General features: G+C 40.8%; 1 pseudogene; it reads right to left on the reverse strand.

Annotated features, from left to right (window-relative positions):
- On the reverse strand, window positions 15,600-19,928 carry FAM47DP (family with sequence similarity 47 member D, pseudogene; annotated as a pseudogene).

A 23,588-nucleotide genomic window follows, 5' to 3' on the forward strand; every position in this document is an offset into this window, starting at 1 on the left:
AACATACAATTAAAAATGGAATGTGGGAGGACAAACTGAATTTGTAAGGAGAAGATAATTTTAAAGAATAAAATTTCACTGTGATGCTAGTTTCTCTCGCTGTGCAGAAGCTGTTTAGTTTAATTAGATCCCATTTGTAAATTTTGGCTTTTGTTGCAATTGCTTTTGGTGTTTTCATTATGAAATCTTTGCCCATGCCTATGTCCTGAATGGTATTGCCTAGGTTTTCTTCTAGGGTTTTTATGGTTTTGGGTTTCACATTTAAGTCTTTAATCCAATTTGAGTTAATTTTTGTATAAGGTGTAAGGAAGGGGTCCAGTTTTTGTTTTCTGCATATGGCTGGCCAATTTTCCCAGCACCATTTATTAAGTAGGGAATCCTTTCCCCATTGCTTCTTTTTGTCAGGTTTGTCGAAGATCAGATGGTTGTAGATGTGTGGTGTTATTTCTGAGGGCTCTGTTCTGTTCCATTGGTCTATATATCTGTTTTGGTACAAGTACCATGATGTTTTGATTACTGTAGACTTGCAGTATAGTTTGACGTCAGGTAGCGTGATGCCTCCAGCTTTGTTCTTTTTGCTTAGGATTGTCTTGGCTATATGGTCTCCTTTTTGGTTCCATATGAAATTTAAAGTAGTTTTTTTTCTAATTCCATGAAGAAAGTCAATGGTAACTTGATGGGAATAACATTGAATCTGTAAATTACTTTGGGCAGTATGGCCATTTTCACGATATTGATTCTTCCTATCCATGAGTGTGGAATGTTTTTCCATTTGTTTGTGTCCTCTCTTATTTCCTTGAGCAGTGTTTTGTAGTTCTCCTTAAAGAGGTCCTTCACATCCCTCGTAAGTTGTATTCCTAGTTATTTTATTGTCTTTGTAGCAATTGTGAATGGGAGTCACTCATTATGTGGCTCTCTGTTTGTCTATTATTTGTGTATAGGAATGCTTGTGATGTTTGCACATTGATTTTTGTATCCTGAGACTCTACTGAAGTTGCTTATCAGCATAAGGAGATTTTGGGCTAAGACCATGGGGTTTTCTAAATATACAATCATGTCATCTCCAAACAGAGACAATTTGGCTTCCTCTCTTCCTATTTGAATACTTTTATTTCTTTCTCTTGCCTGATTGACCTGGTCAGAACTTCCAACACTATGTTGAATAGGAGTGGTGAGGTGAGAGAGGGCATCTTTGTCTTCTGCCGGTTTTCAAAGGGAGTGCTTCCAACTTTTGCCCATTCAGCATGATATTGGCTGTGGGTTTTTCATAAATAGCTCTTATTATTTTGAGACACATTCCATCAATACCTAGCTTATTGAGAGTTTTTAGCATGAAAGGCTGTTGAATTTTGTTGAAGGCCTTTTCTGCATCTATTGGGATAATCATGTGTTTTTTGTCATTGGTTCTGTTTGTTTATGTAATGGATTATGTTTATTGATTTGCTTATGTTGAACCAGCCTTGCATCCCAGGGATGAAGCCAACTTGATCGTGGTGGATAAGCTTTTTGATGTGCTGCTGGATTCAGTTTGCCAGTATTTTATTGAGGCTTTTCGCATCAATGTTCATCAGGGATATTGGCCTGAAATTTTCTTTTTTTTGTTGTTGTGTCTCTGCCAGATTTTGGTATCAGGATGATGCTGGCTTCATAAAATGAGTTAGGGAGGAGTCCTGATTTTTCTATTGTTTGGAATAGTTTCAGAAGGAATGGTACCAGCTCCTGTTTGTACCTCTGGTGGAATTCGGCTGTGAATCTGTCTGGTCCTGGGCTTTTTTTGGTTAGTAAGCTATTAATTACTGCCTTAATTTCAGAACTTGTTATTGGTCTATTCAGGGATTCGACTTCTTCCTCGTTTAGTCTTGGGTGGGTGTACGTGTCCAGGAATTTATCCATTTCTTCTAGGTTTTCTAGTTTATTTGTGTAGAGGTGTTTATAGTATTCCCTGATGATAGTTTGTATTTCTGTGGGATCAGTGGTGATATCCCCTTTATCATTTCTTATTGTGTCTATTTGATTCTTCTCTCTTTTCTTATTAATCTGGCTAGTGGTCTATCTATTTTGTTAACCTTTCCAAAAAACCAGCTCCTGGATTCATTGATTTTTTGAAGGTTTTTTTGTGTCTCTATGTCCTTCAGTTCTGCTCTGATCTTAGTTATTTCTTGTCTTCTGCTAGCTTTTGAATGTGTTTGCTCTTGCTTCTCTAGTTCTTTTAATTATGAGGTTAGGGTGCCGATTTTAGATCTTTCTCGCTTTCTCCTGTGGGCATTTAGTGCCATAAATTTCCCTCTAAACACTGCTTTAGCTATGTCCCAGAGATTCTGGTACATTGTGTCTTTGTTCTCATTGGTTTCAAATAACTTATTTATTTCTGCCTTAATTTTGTTATTTACCCAGTAGTCATTCAGAAGCAGGTTGTTCAGTTTCCATGTAGTTGTGCAGTTTTGAGTGAGTTTCTTAATCCTGAGTTCTAATTTGCTTGCACTGTGGTCTGAGAGGCTGTTTGTTATGATTTCCATTCTTTTGCATTTGCTGAGGAGTGTTTTACTTCCAATTATGTGGTCAATTTTAGAATAAGTGCTATGTGGTGCTGAGAAGAATGTATATTCTGTTGATTTGGGGTGGAGAGTTCTGTAGATGTCTATTAGGTCTGCTTGGTCCAGAGATGAGTTCAAGTCCTGAATATCCTTGTTAATTTTCTGTCTTGTTGATCTGTCTAATATTGACAGTGGGATGCTAAAGTCTCCCACTATTATCATGTGGGAGTCTAAGTCTCTTTGTAGGTCTCTATGAACTTGCTTTACGAATCTGGGTGCTCCTGTATTGGGTGCATATATATTTAGGATAGTTAGCTCTTCTTATTGCATTGGTCCCTTTACCATTATGTAATGCCCTTCTTTGTCTTTTTTCATCTTTGTTGGTATAAAATCTGTTTTATCAGAGACTAGGATTGCAACCCCTGCTTTTTTTGCTTCCCATTTGCTTGGTAAATATCTCTCCATCCCTTTATTTTGAGCGTATGTGTGTCTTTGCAGGTGAGATGGGTCTCCTGAATACAGCACACTGATGGGTTTGACTCTTTATTCAATTTCCCAGTCTGTGTCTTTTAATTGGGGCATTTAGCCCATTTATATTTAAGTTTAATGTTGTTATGTGTGAATTTGATCATGTCATTATGATGCTAGCTGGTTATTTTGCCCATTAGTTAATGCAGTTTCTTCATAGTTTTGTTGGTCTTTACATGTTTTTGCAGTGGCTGGTACTGGCTTTTCCTTTCCATATTTACTGCTTCCTTCAGGAGCTCTTCTATGGCAGGCCTGGTGGTGACAAAATCCCTCAACCTTTTCCTGTCTGTAAAGGATTTTATTTCTCCTTCACTTATGAAGCTTAGTTTGGCTGCATATGAAATTCTTTGTTGAAAATTCTTTTCTTTAAGAATGTTCAATATTGGCCCCCACTCTCTTCTGGCTTGTAAGGTTTCTGAAGAGAGATCCACGTTAGTCTGATGAGCTTTCCTTTGTGGGTAACCAAATCTTTCTCTCTGGCTGCACTTAACATTTTTTCCTTCATTTCAACCTTGGTGAATCTGATGATTATGTGTCTTGAGGTTGCTCTTCTTGAGGAGTATCTTTGTGCTGTTCTCTGTATTTCCTGAATTTGAATGCTGGCCTGTCTTGCTAGGTTGGGGAAGTTCTCCTGGATAATATCCTGAAGTGTGTTTTCCAACTTGGTTCCATTCTCCCCATCACCTTCAGGTACGCCAGTCAAATGTAGCTTTGATCTTTTCACATAGCTCCATATTTCTTGGGGGCTTTGTTCATTTCTTTTCTTTATTTTTTCTCTAATCTTGTCTTCATGCTTTATTTCATTAAGTTGATCTTCAATCTCTGATATCCTTTCTTCCACTTCATCAATTTGGCTATTGATATTTGTGTATACTTCATGAAGTTCTCATGCTGTGTTTTTCAGCTCCATCAGGTCATTTATTTTCTTCTCTAAACTGGTTATTCTAGTGAGCAGTTCCTATAACCTTTTATCAAGGTTCTTAGCTTCCTTGCACTGGGTTAGTACATGCTCCTTTAGCTCAGAGGAGTTTGTTATTTCCCACCTTTTGAAGCCTACTTCTGTCAATTCATCGAACTCATTCTCTGTCCAGCTTTGTTCTCTTGCTGGCGAGGAGTTGTGATTCTTTGGAGGAGAAGAGGTGTTCTGGTTTTTGGACTTTTCAGCCTTTTTGCTGTGGTTTTTCCTCATCTTCATGGATTTATCTACCTTTGGTCTTTGATGTTCATGCCCTTTGTATGGGGTTTTTGCATGGGCATCCTTTTTGCTGATGTTGATGCTATTGCTTTCTGTTTGTTAGGTTTCCTTCTAACACTCAGGTCCCTTTTCTGCAGGTCTGCTGGAGTTTGCTAGAGGTCCACTCTAGACCCTGTTTGCCTGGGTATCACCAGTGGAGTCTGCAGAACAGCAAAGATTGCTGCCTGCTTCTTCTTCTGGAAGCTTCATCCCAGTGAGGCACCCACCAGATGCCAGCTGGAGCTCTCCTGTATGAGGTGTCTGTTGACCCCTGCTGGGAGGTGTCTCCCAGTCAGGAGGCACAGGGGTCGGGGACCCACTTGAGGAAGCAGTCTGTCCCTTAGCAGAGCTCGAGCACTGTGCTGGGAGATCTGCTCTCTTCAGAGCCGACAGGCAGGAATGTTTAAGTCTGCTGAAGCTGCGCCCACACCTGCCCCTTCCACCAGGTTCTCTGTCTGAGGGAGATGGGAATTTTATCTATAAGCCCCTGACTGGGGCTGCTGCCTTTCTTTCAGAGATGCCTTGCCCAGAGAGGAGGAATCTAGAGAGGCAGTCTGGCTATAGTGGCTTTGCCATGCTCTAGTGGGTTCTGCACCCAGTTCAAATTTCTAGGCAGCTTTGTTTACACTGTGAGTGGAAAACTGCCTACTAAAGCCTCAGTAATGGCAGACTCCCCTCCCACCACCAAGCTGGAGTGTCCCAGGTCAATCCAGACTGTTGTGCTGGCCGTGAGAATTTCAAGCCAGTAGATGTTAGCTTGTTGGGCCCCGTGGGGGTGGGATCCACTGAGCAAGACTGCTCGGATCCCTGGCTTCAGCCCCCTTTCCAGGGGAGTGAATGGTTCTGTCTCACTGCTGTTCCAGGCACCACTGGGGTACAAAAAAAGAACTCCTGCAGCTAGCTTTGTGTCTGCCCAAACAGCTGCCCAATTTTGTGCCAGAAACCCAGGGCCCTGGTGGTGTAGGGACCTGAGGAAATCCCCTTGTCTGCGAGTTGCAAAGGCTGTGGGAAGAGCGTAGTATCTGGGCCAGATAGCACTGTCCCTCATGGCACATTCCCTCACGGCTTCCCTTGGCTAGGGGAGGGAGTTCCCCAACCCCTTGCACTTCCTGAGTGAGGTGATGCCCCACCCTGCTTCTACTCGCCCTCCGTGGGCTGCACCCACTGTCTAACCAGTCCCAATGAAATGAACCAGGTACCTCAGTTGGAAATGCAGAAATCAACCCACTTCTTCACTGGTCTCACTGGGAGCTGCAGACTGGAACTGTTCCTACTTGGCCATCTTGCCTGGTGATCCAAAATCATCTTTTCAACAAAACTATTTCTTCTCTCAGCTGTACTTTGTCAACATGTTAAAAATACCCTTGGTAATTTACCTGTGCATTGATAACTAACTATGACGGTTCTCAGTCTTTGTTGCTTATTAGAATCACCTGGGCAATTTAAAAAATATGCATTGCTCAGAACACACCCCCAACACGTTAAATCAGAATTTATGTGGGTGGAATACAGGCCTCAGTAGTTTGTAAAGCTTCCCAGGTGGTTCAAATGTGCATCCTGTACTGAGAACCAGTGAACTAGAGTTTTATTACTCAAACTGTGGTCCATGGACTGGAAGAATCAGTATCACTCAGAAACGTGTCAGAAGTACAAAATCTTAGGCCTCATTCCAAACCTAGAAAATAAGAATCTGCATTTAAACAACATTTGCAGGTGATCTACATGCATGTTAAAGGTTGAGAAGCGTTATTTTAGAGTGCTCAAATGAATCATTGGGGTTAATAAGATCAAGGTCATGAGTGTTACCTTTGTTCCAACCTCCGTTTTGCTGTGTTTGAGGCAGACAGTCATGAGCATTTGTGTTTAACGGTTTCTGATTTTAAGGCCATGGGTGTGGATAGTCTTTTGTGTCCAAGGTAGATGCATGTTTGTAATGATCTCCCAAAGGCAAGGGATGATTCTGTTTCTTGTTAGGAGTTCCTCATTACCCCAGGAAATCAGTTCATTAATAATATTGATTACTCTGCCACCATTTATGAACCTCATTCCACAAGACCCTTCACAATCAGATTCTACTTACTTCAGTCACATTGCCGCAAAATCCCATGGTCTTTCACAAATCTGTGTTGATTCATGTTACACAGTGCTGGGCACAAAGAGAGCCCTCAATAAATATTAGCTAGCTATTATTACTTCTGCCTTGAAATGGGAAAACATCTCAGCTGGAGCATCTTTTTCCCTCCTTCCTCACCTGGAAAATGCAAATTTAGCATTCAAAAACTGACCCTGCGTAGCTCGCCCTAAGTGCCCTCAGGTGAGGGTCCATCCTGTATGCCACCTCCTGTGATTAGAATTAATCTGCTGTGGGTGCTGTAGCCCTTCCTACTCTGGGCGCTCCTTCAGAAGAGGGACCAGATGTCCTTGAACATCTAGGACTCCTAAGCCCTCCTTAAATATGTATATAATGGATCAATAATTGAAACCAAAAATCATCTCCCCGCATGGAGATTTGCCATGTACATGGCAGAGTTTCTACTCAGGCAAAATAGAAAACCACTAGAAAACATCTGGTTTTGAAAATGATGGAGTTATGAGATGCATTTTTTATGAGGCAGTTACGGTTTAAAGGAAAAATTTTAAATAATGCATTCTGTAAATTCCTGAACTATAGTCTTTACTTCATCTATATGGCTTCCAAGGAAAATTCCATATTAAAAGAATTGGACTTTTATTGTTTTATGCATTAATTTATTCACTCACTTATTACTCAACAGTAAATCACTTTAAATATCTATTCTAAAGAATTATATGTTTTAAATGCCTACAATAGGGCATGAAAATATGAAAGTATCACCCCCTAGCAGGATTAAGTGGAAATATCATGGTATGATAATAACTTACAAAGAGAGATAGTGTATATTTTGCAATTAGGCAAAATATTCCACATTTGCTGTGGAGAGCACAAGGATCCCTTTTTAGGGGATTTTGTGGCCCTTCCTCATTTTGGTGTGCTTTCAACAACCAGGGAGCTTTTCTTCAGGAGGAAGATGTCACTCGGGCTACTGGAACTGCTTTACAATGATTGCAGATGCGGAAGTATGAAATCATAACTTCTTTGATTCAGATTTGGACAACTCTGAAGGGTAACTTACACTCCAGAGTTTACTCCTGATAACATGTTGAAGCTATCCTCTGTGAGACTGGATCTAAAATGGTACTTTGACTTGTCATTTTATCTTTTCCTTTTTGCTTCTCTCATTCCCAGTAGAAGGTCCCCCAGTCTCCCAGGAATATCTTTACTAAATCCGTTGCATGTCAGTCCTCTTCTCAGGGTCTCTTTCTGAGAATCACGACTTAAGGCACTTTTTAATGCTATATTTCTACATAGATATATAAATACACATACATAGAGTTTTACACACTCAGCATTCTTTAATACTTTTTTTATTTTGCATTTGTCAATTAGTCATTTATGTTTTTATATATCTGTATTTTCCATTGGGTTAAAGGGTCCTTATGAATGGGAACTGATTTATTCCCATTGTGCCCCTGTTCTCTGCCCTCTCCCTAATCCAATACCTCATAGACTCCCATACAGAGTAAGTGCTCAAAGATGTTGTTTGTGTTTTTTCAAATAGGATAGAATACACATTCATTTTATACACATATGCATTAATTAAGAAAGTCAAATGTGATATCTGAAGAACTGTAACCACATGTTATTAAAGGTTCTTTTTTCTGGGCAGGCAGAGCATATATTTAGCAGTGTTATGCTTAAAAATAACCAAGTGAAATTTTCTTTGAAATGAATTTATCATTAAAAGTAGTTTAATGTAAGAAATGGTGAAAATAATTATACCACTACAAATTCTGTCTTTTGGACTATTTTGTGATTAATGCCTACTAAAATTATTCAAATGTAATCTGACAGATTTTTCAAAAAGCCATAATTAGAAATGAAAAAGGAGATAAGAAGTTTCATCAAATCTCTTTTCTTTGCCATCAAAACTAGTCTTACCCAGTTTCCTTTCATGAATTCTGTTCCCCTAACATATTTTCAGTTCAGCCACATTTGGGATACAGACATGCAAAACTCTCACAGCACGCAAATGAGATTAGCAACCTGGTTGCCGAGCAAAATGCACCTTTTCTCTATCGCCTAGCAGGGACATCCCCCTGGACAGGAAAAGTGGCCTTTCCTGAGTATGTCTGCTTTAACTCCATTACCTACAATGCCTTGGGATATTCTTCCCATCAAGCACTTGGACAATGAATTTCAGAAGTCATCCTATCAGATTAAATTGATCTCTACCTTCAACCAATTCCCATGCAAATTAGGCTTCCATAAACATGTAGCATGACCAAAAGAAAAAGCTGTTGCAGAAATTCTAAAGAACCTAAAGTATTTTTTTCATCACTTGTCACACGTGTTAAAGAAAAGTCATTTTTCCATGAGCTTCCCCATGCCTGAGTTGCTGCCTCATGCCAGCTCTTTATAAAAGTTCACAATTGTTTCAATGTGGTTGTTGCTATTTTCACTGTATAGTTCTTCATTCATCGTCATGGTTGGCCCTTAATACAAAGGTACGAGAAAGTATTACCGGAGGATAGCATGCTACTAGCATCAGGGTATGTAGACAGAAATGTGACTTTCTAAGATAAGGCCAAAAAATGATGGTGCCTTTGTGCAAGAGAAAAGTGTTTTTCTGTTTCTTTCAATAATTACCTATATCACAATCACTTGGGAGGGCTTGTTAAAAACAAAATTCTCAGGATCCATTCTTTGAATCCAAATTTCTAGAGATAAGACCATTCCATTTATCAAGCTCCACTTGACCATCACTGATTGCCCCAGGAGTAAGCCTATGACTCAAACAGAGCTAATGAGAGTTCTTCCTTAGAATTTTAAATTTATGGCCACTGGACTGGGTGCTACGTGAGGATCTGGAACTTTGTTTTGCTCTCTGATATATCTCTATCCCCTTGAATAATGATGGTTACATAGCAGGAGCTTATTAAATTGAATTAGTGGAGTAAGTCTCAGTTTCCCTTTGATGGACAACATTGTGAATTGTGAGGCAGCCATATTCCCCTATGCTTAGAGGAATACAAACAGAATGAGACTGTTCTAACAACACTCAAGTTCCTAATTCCAGTTGTCTTTTCTGCCTAGCTATTTCCCTGTCATTCCCCTGGCTTTATGAGCCAATGAATTGTCCAAATTTGCTTAATTTGAATTTCAAACTAAAGCAGTTTAATAAACATAGCTAAGATCTTATAATCTCTTATTTTTTAATTATTTTATTATATTTTTACCACACTTGAGCTTACAACCAACTTCTAAAATAGATTTAAAATCTGAGATGCTAAAAAGTAGAGAAGACTTGCCTCAGGTCACATGCTAGTGTATGGAAAAACCGGAAATAAATTTTTTATTAAATCTTCCTTCTTGGTGGAAAAGGATAAGTAAAACTTGGAGGAGATTGAGAACTTTGAGGTGTTTTTACCTGTAATGCTTTCCAATTAGCTTAGCATTATAGCAAAACTGGTTCAGTGATGATGGAGGGTTTCAGCCACTGGGCACTTGCAGAAATCTCATTGTACTAAAGACAGATTATCTGATACATTGTTGTCTACCCCAAATAAATGTATTATCTGTCAATGGAAAGTAAGAGTAAGGGGAATCACTGATGTTAACTTAATATTAACCACAAGGAAAAAGTGGGTAGTGATGGTGGTAATTCAGAAGTGTTAGGAATAGGAAGAGTAGTACATTGTTGTCATACACATTGTCTGACATAGATCCTGGATATGTCTGGGCTCATATTTGGGAAGCAGTTATTTCATAATTCTCACAGACAGGAATAAACCCTTTGACAGTTGCTTCATAAGTGTGGGGGTGAAACACTCAAACAAGCTGGGAAGATTTTGCTTGCCCAGCAGCCCACAGCCTTTGCTTTGGCATCAACACCCTAAATTTTCATTGGGGAATCACTTCTTTCCCACTCTCATAACATGTTCCCAGGCATAAGCATGTGACCAAAGTTTGGCCAACCAGGTTGGTTCTGGAATGGGCATGTGACCAAAATTAGGCCAAAGAGAGTCAAAATCTTGAGAGAAACACTCCTTTTCTTCATTTTATTTATTTATTAAATTTAACTTTTATTTTAAGTTCGAGGTACATGTGCAGGTTTGTTGTACAGGTAAACACATGTCATGCGGGTTTGTTGTACAAATTATTTTGTCACCCAGGTATTAAGCCTTGTACCCATCAGTTATTTTTCCTGATCCTCTCCCTCCTCCCACTGTCCACCGCCCCAGTGTCTGTGGTTCCCCTTTATGTGTCCACAGAGAAACACTCTTTTTCTATGAAGATTGCTAAACTGTAGAAAAAGCCTGCCTCAAAATGAATCCAACCTGGGGTGAGGAGAGGACAAGGAGGAAGAGGAGGCAGGAGAAAGGGAGAAAAATTTCACATCATTATTTTAGCACTTAGTGTAAGCCATGCCAGGATCTCTTGGTTTCAACCCATCAGTTCTCTTTTGGAGAAACTCAGGGCTAGTTGAGTTCCTGCCTAATACAGAGGCAGCTGAAGAGTTCATTGAAGTTGCAGAGAGAATTTGCTGAAAGACAAAGATCTTAAAAACACAAAGATGAGATGGAGGCAACTAACCAAATATGAATTGGAGGAATGGCATGAAGCCCAAAAATGGCATCAGAAAGGCAGAGAGAGTTTAGGATTATTAAGTAAACACGCAAAAACAAGACACAATTCCTTTCTTTTATTCTCTGAGAAAGAAGAGACAAAAAGTTACAGGAGTATTGGTTGTTCCATAAGTTGATAGAAGGAAGGCAAAACTATTCCATTTCTTTTATCTTATTTTTTCATTGAAGAAAATTAATTTCAAACTGAAAAAGTTAGAACAACGAAGATCAGGAAAAAAGAGAAACCCTGGACACTTACAAAGATCAGAGGTTATATCAGTCTGAAAATAACTTTTGCTGATTTAAACAGAAAAGGAATTTATTAAAAGAAAATTGTGTAGCTCACTGAAACTTTGGGAGGGCTGGAAAGCTGGGCAGAGGCTGAGGGGCAGGAATGTCGCTCTAAATCACCCCACATAAAAGCCTATTGAGGACTCAGTTGCCACCATCACTATGTAATAGATGATACAGTTTCTGTCAGAACTACCACAGCATGGGACATTTCATGCTGCCACTAAGACCCTGTCTCTGCTTCCCTGGGAATTCGATCTTGAGACAGCCAAACTTTCCACCCAAGGTGAATCTCCATAGTCACAGATATTTGGCATGGTTAGCTTCAATTCAAAGCCTGATAGTACTGACAAGAGCATCTGATTGGCAGAATGTTGTCATGTACTCACATCCTAGCTGCAAGGAATGTTGTGAAAAATCTGAATGTGGCATTTTCAATTATGTAAAAGGAAGTGAGGTCTGACCTCCACTAAATCTCATGAAGTGAGAATTCCAAGAAATAATTGTCATGACAAAAGTCATTAACCTTTCCCTCTATGTTTTCTTCTAGGAGTTTTAGCATTTCAGGTCTCACGTTTAAGTCTTTATTCTATCTTGAGTTTATTTTTGTATATGGTGCAAGACAAGGATCTGATCATTCTTTTGCATGTGGCTATACAGTATTCCTACCACCTTAATTGAAGAGAGTATCCTTTTCACATTGTTTATTCTTCATAGTTGACCATATATGGGCAGGTTTATTTCTGGATTTCTAGTCTGTTTCATTGATTTATATGTCCGTCTTTATGCCAGTACCATACTGTTTTTTTATTACTGTGGCTTTGTAATATATTTTTAAATTAGGAAACATGAAGCCTTTAGGCAGGGTGCAGGTGTACCATTGTGCTGGCGGGGAAGGGAAGGCTAGGTCTGCCTGGGCATATACGCACCAGCATAGCAATGTGGAGGGTGGCCATCAGTGCAAACGAGCTGTTGTGTATTTGTAGAGACCACTCTGCTGGAGCACTCTGCCAGTCAGGTGTGGTCCAACAACAGCTATGAGGTGGGCCCCAAGTGGCACCTGGCAGCTGTGCTGCAAGCAGTTGTGGCCAGGCTGGGGCCCCACAAGAGGCCAGCAGACTGAGAGGTGCTCAGGTTGGACTAGATCTGTCTCATGGGTAAGACTGCCCTGTAGAGTTCAGGTCTGAAAGGTCCCCTAGGGTTAAGTCTCCTATGGGAGCAAATCTAGCCTAGGGGGATGCACATCTCTGACTGTTCTCCACTACAGTTGCTTCCACAGGACAACCTCTGTTCTCTGCCCCTGGCTGGAGTTCTGCCCCTACTACTTCTCTAAGTAACTTTCCCTGCCAACTCAAGTGTCCGTGGTGGTCGAGGGGTGTCCTCCTGCTGAGATTTCAAAGGCCCACAATGAGAGTGTGTTGCTCCTTGCCTGTTAAACTCACCCCCTCTGTCGGAGTCATTGGGGGCCAGGAACACGTTCCAGTGCGCAATAACCCTGGGAAGTGTTCCTAGCTTCCTCCCACTTCAGCCCAGCCTCCACGTTTTCCCTCCGTCTGCTCTGCTTACAACTACAGGATAAGAACATGGCAGCACTGGGATATGAACTCATTTCTGCTTATCTCCAAAGGCCTTGCTCATTCATGCAGACTCTCAGAAATGAAAAATAATTCCCTTCATCTTTGTTAAATCACATGTTCCTACAGACAAATTCTCCAAAGCTTTTATGAAACCTATGTGATGCTGTAATACCATTGATTACTACAGTATTTATGAAATATACCATTCATAGCTTTAGGCTACACAGGCACAGCTACATATCAAGCTCTCTTGAATTCTCTCTCTTTCTAAAACCTATGAATTTGAAGTCAGGATATTTTCAGAAGTCCAACTGGTGTTAAAAATCCAAATAGATCAAACATCGTTTCTGTTTATATCTGTGTGACAACTAATACCAATGGGTGTAATTACAATGTGGAAAAACCCACATAATTTCTGAGGAAAGTTTATTTCACTGGAAGTAGCCGTTACCAATAAGCAATAGAAACCCTAACCAGTGGCTCTTATTTTGCAATTACACTTTTTCATCTTAATTTTAGTATATGTGCAGCCAAAGCAAACACCACTTTTTCATGTTAAGCAATGGCTAAGACTGTGTGTGATATAGGTGAAGGCTATCACCAGATAAACACCATCAAAAAGTTATTTTTTATAGTGTCTTTGGGTTTTGATTTTTTAGTATCCTTCTTCCTTTCCAACTCCATCCTCCTCTTCCACAAATATAGGTTTAGTATTAATTCTAAACTAAATGATGCCTGAGGCATTAGGCACTACAATAAGTAATCCTTTAAGTCCCACCAGAATTTGAGTTTGATGATATGGTGTCCATTGTGTAGATGAGGATACATCCTCCGTGAAGTGCAAGGTCACATAACCAAATGTGAAAAAGTAGGTCTGTCTCTTGCTGAAAGGAACTGAACATTGGATGCTGCTGCATGAAGCCCAAGGCTTCAGTGGACAACCTCAGAAACCAGTAACTCTGAGCCATATGGCATGATATTGGCCTCCCAGAAGTCTGAATAATATGTATGGGGATTTCCCAGATTTTGAAGGCATTAATGACTCATTTCTCTAGGATACCGATGTAAGTTCTTCAGTGGAAGAAAACTGGAAAATGAGTGTCTTTGTCTACAGACATAAGGTCTTAATAAAAGTAATCATGAAATTGACCTTGGTGGGGAGAGCAATGAAACAGGATTACATGGCCTGAGTGAAGTCCTAACAATACAAAAGATTAGGTACAAAGACACAAAGATAAGAAAAGGAATATTGACTGGAGTCTGGAATGCAGGAGCATGTGTGTGTATGTGTGTGCATGTGTGTGTGAGTGTTTATGTACCTAGATAAGTTTAGCCTGGAGAATTAACAAGCCATGCTTGTGTTTTACAAAAATACACTCAAGAAGAGACATGGGTTGGAAATTATTGCAGAAATACAATAAGAGATAGTGGTGACATGAACCTAAGTTTATGATGATGAATTTGAAGAGAAATTATAGGCCTTGGCTTAGAAAGCAACATAAAAAAAGACTTGGTTCTTCAGGAACACAATGTCCACAGAAAAACTTCACTAGAAATAGAATTTGCACATAGACAGATGTATATCTCACTGCTTACTTGGATGAAATATATGCATATATGCCCATTTACAGATGGACTCTTTCATCTCTGAAAGAAAAAGTGCACTTCAGATCTACACTACAGATATATTTACCTACAAATTTACCTATACCAGACAGTTTTACCTGCTATGTTTTAAAAGTAAAGCAGTTGCTTAATTTATTACTTTAAACTTATGAGTGCATTTTAAATTGCTAAGAATGAAATGAAAATTATTTGAACTTGGACAGATATGTAAGGATACTTGATGTTGCTTGGTAGCTTTTCTCATACAGATCTATTTTGCACATGAGATTTGCCAGGGAGTTGAAGCTACCTCCTATTCTGCACCTGTTTATATGATTTGGTAATAGTCTTTTGTAGTGAAGGTTTATGAACATGGTGAAATGCATACATTCAATTGAGATGATAAAATGGCATAACTCAAGTTTCAACTATGATTTTGATAAATAGTTTTCAAACCAGTTTTGGGGGTTTGATGTAATCCCAAAGGGGAAGATAACAATTTTACTATTAAAAATTGTTAACATTAATTTGGCTATAGACTCCAATTTTTGGTTAACAAAATAATTGTCATAATTATTTCATTACAATTTCAATATAAATAGAGTTATAAGTTCTCGTTTTACTCAGCACATTTTGGTGTTTTTGTTGTTGTTGTTGTTTGTTTGTTTGTTTTTTGCGAGGGGGTCTTGCTCTGTTGCCCAGACTGGAGTGCAGTGGCATGATCATGGCTCACTGCAGTCTTAACCTCCTGAGCTGAAGCAATCCTCCCACCTCAGCCCTCTGGGTAGATGGGACTACAGGTGCGCACCACCATGCCTGGCTGATTTTTGTATTTTTTGTAGAGACCAGGTTTCACCATGTTGCCCAGGCTGGTCTTGAACCCCTGGGCTCAAGCAATCCATCCACCTGGGCCTCCCAAAGTGGGGAGGGATTACAGGCATGAGCCAATGTGCCCAACTCCATTTCTGTTTTTAAGAATAATTCTTTTATTTCTGGTTTTATGTATTTTTACAAATAATTGACATGATAATGTAATATTCACAATGCTTCAAAAATGTGAAAAAGTATATGTGAATATTAATCACATAATTGATAAAATATATGAAATAATGAAGCCAAAGCAGGTCATTAAGAAATATTTATAAACATTAGGTATTGAATTTACAGATGTTGCCAAAGTTGTACATCTACAGGGCCAGTCATCATAAATTCTGATTGATGTTTAAAATGAGAGCAAGAAATACCCAATTAAGTAGTAAATTGAAAACCATCTAATCTTCTTCCGATACGTCTGTGACGTCTTCTTTCTACTTGTAAAGTCTCATTGCACGTTGAACAGGAGTCTTAACAGAGTCATAAGTCCATCCCTTCCTGGCACACAGCCTTTCAATGATGCCAGGCATTTCATAGCCCTTGCTTAGAATGAAATCCTTAAAGGCAATTGGTCCATAAAGATCGTCAAGAATATCGGGTTCATCTGGCTTTTCAAGTAAGAGCTTGGGGTCAATCAAAGGTTGATCACTTCTTAGCTTTTTCCCCAGCTTAGGCTTAAGGTACCATACTCCATACCTCATCTTCACACACTGTGCAGTGTAAGAATTCGGTGCCATCTGGAGTTTCCTGTCCCAGTCTTTTTCCTGTGAGGATTCGACCTCATCCATTTCATCTAGCTTTATTCTGTATTGCAGCTCTGAGACCCATTCTTTTATCTTCTTAATCTGTTGGTCTTCATAGGTTGCTCTCCACTTGGGGGTAAAGTCAAACAGATTCCTGATGGATTCTTCATCAACTCCCATGTCTCGAGCCCACTTGAAGTCATGCATTTTTCTCGATGTGTATCTATGTTGAAGAGAGTCAGAAACACATTCTGTTGTGCTTGGTGTATCTTCCTGAAGCAGTTCTTTTAGACAGGACGCTCGAATCTTGGGAGGCTCCAAGAAGTGATGGGACACTGGAGCTTTGGGAGGCTCTGGGGAGAGATGGGACACTCTAGTCTTGGGAGGCTCCGGGCGGAGACTGGACACCTGACGAGTCTTGGGAGGCTCAGGGCAAAGATGGGATGCCTGAGTCTCTGGAAGCCGTAGGCAGAATTCCCTACAAGACTATTTACCAGGCTTGGTGGGTTCCTTGATTGTCTTCTCCCGGCCCTCACAATAAGCCCATGCCTTCTCCAGCTTCCTCTCAGGATCCAGCAGTTTCAGCATCTGTAGTAGGAGACTGGACACCCAACTAGTGTTGGGAGGTTGGGAGGTTCTGGGCGGAGATGGAACACTACAGTCTTGGGAGGTTCCGGGCAGAGACTGGACACCTGCATCTTGGGGGGCTCCGGGCGGAGACTGGACACCCGATGAGTCTCGGGAGGCTCCGGGCAGAGATGGGACACTCCAGTCTCGGGAGGCTCTGGGCAGAGACTGGACACCCGAGTCTTGGGAGGCTCTGGGCAGAGATGAGACACTCCAGTCTCAGGAGGCCCCAGGCGGAGACTGGACACCAGAGTCTTGGGAGGCTGTGGGCAGAGATGAGACACTCCAGTCTTGGGAGGCCCCGGGCAGAGACTGGACACTGGAGTCTTGGGAGGCTGCAGGCAGAGATGAGACACTCCAGTCTCAGGAGGCCCCAGGTGGAGATTGGACACCAGAGTCTTGGGAGGCTCTGGGCAGAGATGGGACATTCCAGTCTCGGGAGGCTCCAGGTGGAGACTGTACATCCGAGTCTTGGGAGGCTCTGGGTGGAGATGGGATACTCCAGTCTCAGGAGGCTCTGGGTGGAGACTGGTCACCTGAGTCTTGGGAGGCTCTGGGCAGAGATGAGACACTCCAGTCTTGGGAGGCCCAGGGCAGAGACTGGACACTGGAGTCTTGGGAGGCTCCAGGCAGAGATGGGACACCTGAGACTCGGGAGGCCTCGTGCAGAATTCCCCACAAGGGTATTTACCAGGCTCAGTGGGTTCCTTGGTTGTCTTCTCCTGGCCCTCACAATGAACCCATTCGTCCTCCAGCTTCCTCTCAGGATTCAGCAGTTTCAGCACCTGTAGTAGGAGACTGGACACTCGATGAGTATTGGGAGGTTCCGGGTGGAGATGGGACACTCCAATCTCAGGAGGCTCTGGGCAGACACTGGACACCTCCGTCTTGGGGGGCTCCGGGTGGAGGCTGGACACCTGCATCTTGGGGGGCTCTGGGCGGAGACTGTACACCCGACGAGTCTTGGGAGGCTCTGGGCAGAGACTGGACACCCAAAGAATCTTGGGAGGCTCCGGGTGGAGAGTGGACACCCGTTGAGTCTTGGGAGGCTTGGGGCAGAGATGAGACACTGCAGTCTTGGTAGGCTCCGGGCAGAGACTGGACACCCGACGATTCTTGGGAGGCTCCGGGCGGACACTGGACAGCCGACCAGTCTTGGGAGGCTCCGGGCAGAGTCTGGACACCCGACGAGTCTTGGGAGGCTCCAGGCGGAGATGAGACACTGCAGTCTTGGGAGGCTCTGGGCAGAGACTGGACACCCGACGAGTCTTGGGAGGCTCCGGGAGAACACTGGACACCCCACGAGTCTTGGGAGACTCCAGGCGGAGATGAGACACTCCAGTCTTGGAAGGCTCCGGGTGGAGACTGGACATCCGACGAGTCTTGGGAGGCTCCGGGCAGAGACTGGACACCTGAAGAGTCTTGGGAGGCTCCGGGCAGAGATGAGATACGCGAGTCCCGGGAGGCTCCGGGCAGAGATGGGACACTCCAGTCTCGAGAGGCTCCGGGCGGAGACCGGACACCCGACGAGTCTTGGCAGGCTCTGCGCGGAGATGGGACACTCCAGTCTCGGGGGGCTCCGGGCAGAGGCTGGAGACCCAATGAGTCTTGGGAGGCTCTGGGCAGAGATAGGACACTCCAGTCTCAGGAGGCTCTGGGTGAGACTGGACACCGGAGTCTTGGGAGGCTCCGGGTGGAGATGGAACACCTGAGTCTCAGGAGGCCTCGGGCAGAATTCCCCACAGGGGTATTTACCAGGCTCGGTGGGTGCCTTGGTTGTCTTCTTCCAGCCCTCACGAGCCCATGCGTCCTCCAGCTGCCTCTCAGGATCCAGCGGTTTCAGCACCTGTAGTAGGAGATCTGGAGGCATATCTTCTCCCAGATTGGGGTACATGGCCAAGGGATGCTTGGCCATCAGCTGGGCTTCCTCTACAAATGCCTTCCATGCTGGCTGGGCTGGCAAGAGCTTGGAAAACAGGGCCACTTTCTTGAGCAGCTTTTTCTGCCTGCTTTTCGGGTCAGCTTGGGGACCTCTGTGAGAGATTTTGGGGAGTAAGAACTCGTTAAGTCTACAAATGAGCATATCTTCGGGAGACGGACAGCCATAGTGGAAGCTGTCCATGCTCTCCTTTACAAATACCCAGTTCTAAATTTACAAGAAAAAAATCAAACAACCCCATCAACAAGTGGGCAAAGGATATGAACAGACACTTCTCAAAAGAAGACATTTATGCAGCCAACAGACACATGAAAAAATGCTCATCATCACTGGCCATCAGAGAAATGCAAATCAAAACCACAATGAGATACCATCTCACACCAGTTAGAATGGCCATCATTAAAAAGTCAGGAAACAACAGGTGCTGGAGAGGATGTGGAGAAATAGGAACACTTTTACACTGTTGGTGGGACTGTAAACAAGTTCAACCATTGTGGAAGACAGTGTGGCGATTCCTCAGGGATATAGAACTAGAAATACCATTTGACCCAGCCATCCCATTACTGGGCATATACCCAAAGGATTATAAATCATGCTGCTATAAGGACACATGCACATGTATGTTTATTCCAGCACTATTCACAATAGCAAAGACTTGGAACCAACTCAAATATCCATCAATGATAGACTGGATTAAGAAAATGTGGCACATATACACCATGGAATACTATACAGCCATAAAAAAGGATGAGTTCATGTCCTTTGTAGGGACATGGATGAAGCTGGAAACCATCATTCTGAGCAAACTATCAGAAGGACAGAAAACCAAACACTGCATGTTCTCACTCACAGGTGGGAATTAAACAGTGAGAACACTTGGACACAGGAAGGGGAACATCACACACGGGGGCCTGTTGTGGGGTTGGGGGAGGGATAGCATTAGGAGATATACCTAATGTAAATGACGAGTTAACAGGTGCAGCACACCAACATGGCACATGTATACATATGTAACAAACCTGCACGTTGTGCACATGTACCCTAGAACTTAAAGTATAATAATAACAATAATAATAATAATAATAAAAACCAAATACTCAGTTCTGGGTGTCCATTGGCGGGAACCTCAGGCGCCTGTGCTTACGCTTCGCGATGTACTTGGAAGGCGGTTTGTCACAGTACCAGGGCTTGCAGTCCATGCCCGGGGACCTCGGCCGGTCCCGCGGCCTCTGGTCCCCCATGGTGGCCCTCGCTGGGGTGCCATCTCTCCAGTTCCCGCGGTTCCTGATCCCTGCCACTCTAGTCGCTAGGAGACCGCGAGCCACGCGCAGCCCAGGTTCTTCCTCGAAGAGGGGCAGCGGAGACGCCATCTGCGCAGCCTGGATTCTCCAGGGTATGGTCAGCAACGGAGTGCCCAAGCCCCTGCTCATTCCATGGTGTGTGGTCCATGGGATGGACAGAGCGCAGTTTCTTTTTCCATTCGCCTTTGGATGGACATTTCGGTTGTTTCCCGTTTTGGACTATGACAAATATTCTATGAACATTTGTGTCCATGTCTTCGTACGTACATATACTTTCATTTCTCCTGGATAAATTTTAGCTAGGAGTCCAATGGCGGGATCATATCATAGGTGTATGTTTAACGTTTTTAAGAAACGACCAAACTTTTACAAAGTATTTACACTATTTCATATTCCTTCTACTAGTGTAGGAGCATTGCAGTTTTTTCACCTATGATCCAACACTTGGTATGGTTAGTCATTTTAATTTTGGCCATTCTAATAGGTGTTTAGTGGAATCTCATTGTGGTGTTTATTTGCATTTCATAATGACTACTGGAATTGAACATCTGTATATTTGCTTATTTGCAATCTTTATCTTTCCTTGGGTGAAGTTTCTGTACAATTTCTTTTCCATTTTTAAATTGTGTTGCTGGATATCATATTTCGTTTTGAGAATCCTTGCTGTGTTCTAGATGTAAGTCCATTATCACATATATGATTTGCAAATTTTTCGCTTCATCCTTGGCTTTTCCCTTTCACTGTCTTAACAGTGATAAAGAGAAGTTTTTTAATTTGATGAAGTCCAACTTATCAATTTGATTTTTTACGGATTGTGCTTCTTTTGATGTATCTGTGAAAACTTTGCCCGCCCAAAGTTCACAAAGATTTTTTTTATTTAAATCTGTTTAATTTTTTGTAAACAGCACACGATATAGATCAAAGTTTTTATTTGAAAAAACGTGTCTATTGCCTATGTACATACGATACATTTCAGAACTATTTTTGTAAAGACTATCTTTTGTCCACTGAATTACCTTTGGAAATTTGTAGAATATAAGTTGTCTATATTTTTTATGGGTCAATTTCTGGGCACTCTTTTCCAGATTTTTCTCTCACACAAATTTCGCACTCTGTTGATTACTTTAGCTTTGTAATAAATCTAGAAATTAGTCTGTATTAGTCCTTTAACAACATTCTTTTACAAAGTTGGTTCTTCTAGGTCCTTTGAATTTCTATAAAAATTTTAAAATCAGTCTGTCAATGTCTAAAAAAATCCTGTTGGGATTTTGATTAGGATTTGGTTGAATCCATAGATCAATTTGAGGATAATTGACATATTAAAAATAGGAAGTCTTCTGACCACTGAAAAAGGTACATTTTTCCATTTGTTTATGTTATTTTTAATTTTCTCAGGAATATTTTGTATTTTTTAGTGTATACAACTTTCACATTTTTTTCTCTCCAGAGTTTTCCTAAATATTGTTTTTGATACTGTTATTGTTATTTAAATTGCAATTCCCAATTTTTTGTTATTAGTATATACAAATATTGATTTTTGTATATCTATCTTGTATCATACAACCTTGGTAAACTCACTTATTACTTTCAGGAGCACTTTTGTAGATTTCATTGAATTTTCTTTATATATGATAATGTCATCTGTGAATAAAGACAGTTTCTCTTCTTTCTTTCAAAATTGAATATCTTTATCCCCCTCCAGTCCAGTTGGAATCCTTGGTTTTCCTTTGAATCATATCAGTTAAATTCTTATCTCTCTTGTGATGTTTAAAACGATACCTACGAAAAAGCTTTCTTTTAAAAAAATTATAGACAAATTCAGCTTGCATTATTCCTTTACCATATTTTCTCAGCACATAATAATTTTTTTCCATACATTCTTATCCATTTTTAAAAAGTTTTCTTATTTCCCTTGTTAGGTGCAGCTGAACAATATTTTCTACCATTACTAGCAGGTATACCCTAGTTCCTCCTTGTAAATGAGGCATGATCAATGCCTTTCTTGCCTTTGGCTCGTCCTCTGTAAAATAGGCACAATGTATATTCCTCTTAGGTTTCTCATTAAATCCAAGAAATGGATTATGTGTAAATCAAGATAATCTATATAACATGATTTTGTATAGTATCTGGCACAGAATAAGCATCCAGTAAAGTACTGTTATTTTATATAGGATTACTACAATTTGAAAATAAAATATTCTACATTCAATGTCTAAATAAAGGAGAAGCAGAAATCATACAGATCTATTTACTTGTCACAAATATTTTCATTTATCAGTTATAAGAATCTGTTAAACTCTCAACATATTTGGTAGATTTTACAATGCATAGTTGGTAAGACCATTTTGATATGGATTTATTTTTAACTTTCTTACTTGGAAAAATTCCATGGACTGTATGTTAAATTCAAGAGCCAATGCTTCAACAATTCTCTATAACAGTACTCTAACTAGCAAGCTCATATGAGTATTCACTTATCTAAAATGGGTGAGGGTTTGAATAAAACTTCTATATTTTAAATAATCCCAGAGAAAAACACACACTGAAGCTCCTAAAGGGCAACTGGGCATCTTCAAAATTTTTCATGTGACTGTTCATTAAAACAGTTTTTGTACCTTACAGCCACTTCATTTTTTTCACTTTTCAAAGTAGAATATTATACAAAAGACTCATATCCAGAATATATAAATAATTATTAAAATGTAACAATGAGACAACAGAGAACACAAAACAAAAATGTATAATACATAGTAGTTTAACATGTATAGAGATAAATAGCTAAAGAAATAATTATAGTTGTGTGTACATATTGGTTAGTATACATGCATATATTTTATAGTTCTGTCTGCTGAGAAACTCGAAAAAAATATCACCTAAGTAGCCAAAAGTACATCCAGTGTCCAGATCTTGGTTTCTAAATACCATTCTCCAAAATAACAAAAACAAAACAGAGATATCCTTGGAGAAATGAGTAATTCTAGGCTGGGGGCAGTGAAAACACAAGATGAGCCTGGAGTATTATGTAATGCCAGAAAATAGGAAGTTCTCAGAAAACAAAAGAATAAGAGCAGATCAGGAGCCAAACTAAAAGAGCATTCAATGGCCAAAGTTAAAACAATTTAAGCAACATGAGAATTAAACTTTAAAAATTATAACACAATATAAAATAAAATATCCATGAGTCCATACTGATACAAATAATTGTACAAATAAATAAATGACAAAAAGGTGCAACTCTGTCTTAGAAGAATTTCAAAAAATGTACATAGATACTTCTCCCCCCAGGAGGTGGAATTTAAATGCCCTCCCCAGAGTGTGGGCTGGATTCTAAAAAATTGAATATGGAAAGGGAAAAATAGTAACATTTTAGTGGAGAAGCCTGGCAGTCCTCTCCTTAACCAAGTGATCAATGTTAATATCAGCAGTGAGAAGTCACGTTGGTATCATGCACTCCTCTGATAGGATGTGCTGAGAAAGACTCCACCTCTGTAGTATTCTTTCCTAAAATCCAGAATCCTAGTCTAATGAGGAGAAAACATCTAACAAACCCAAGTCCAGGGACATTCTACAAAATTCTCAAGTACTCCTCAAAACCATAAAGGTCATGGGAAACAAGCAAAGTCTGAGAACC

Source organism: Homo sapiens, chromosome X (assembly GCF_000001405.40).
Source record: "Homo sapiens chromosome X, GRCh38.p14 Primary Assembly".
In the NCBI taxonomy this organism is placed as follows: Eukaryota; Metazoa; Chordata; class Mammalia; order Primates; family Hominidae; genus Homo; species Homo sapiens.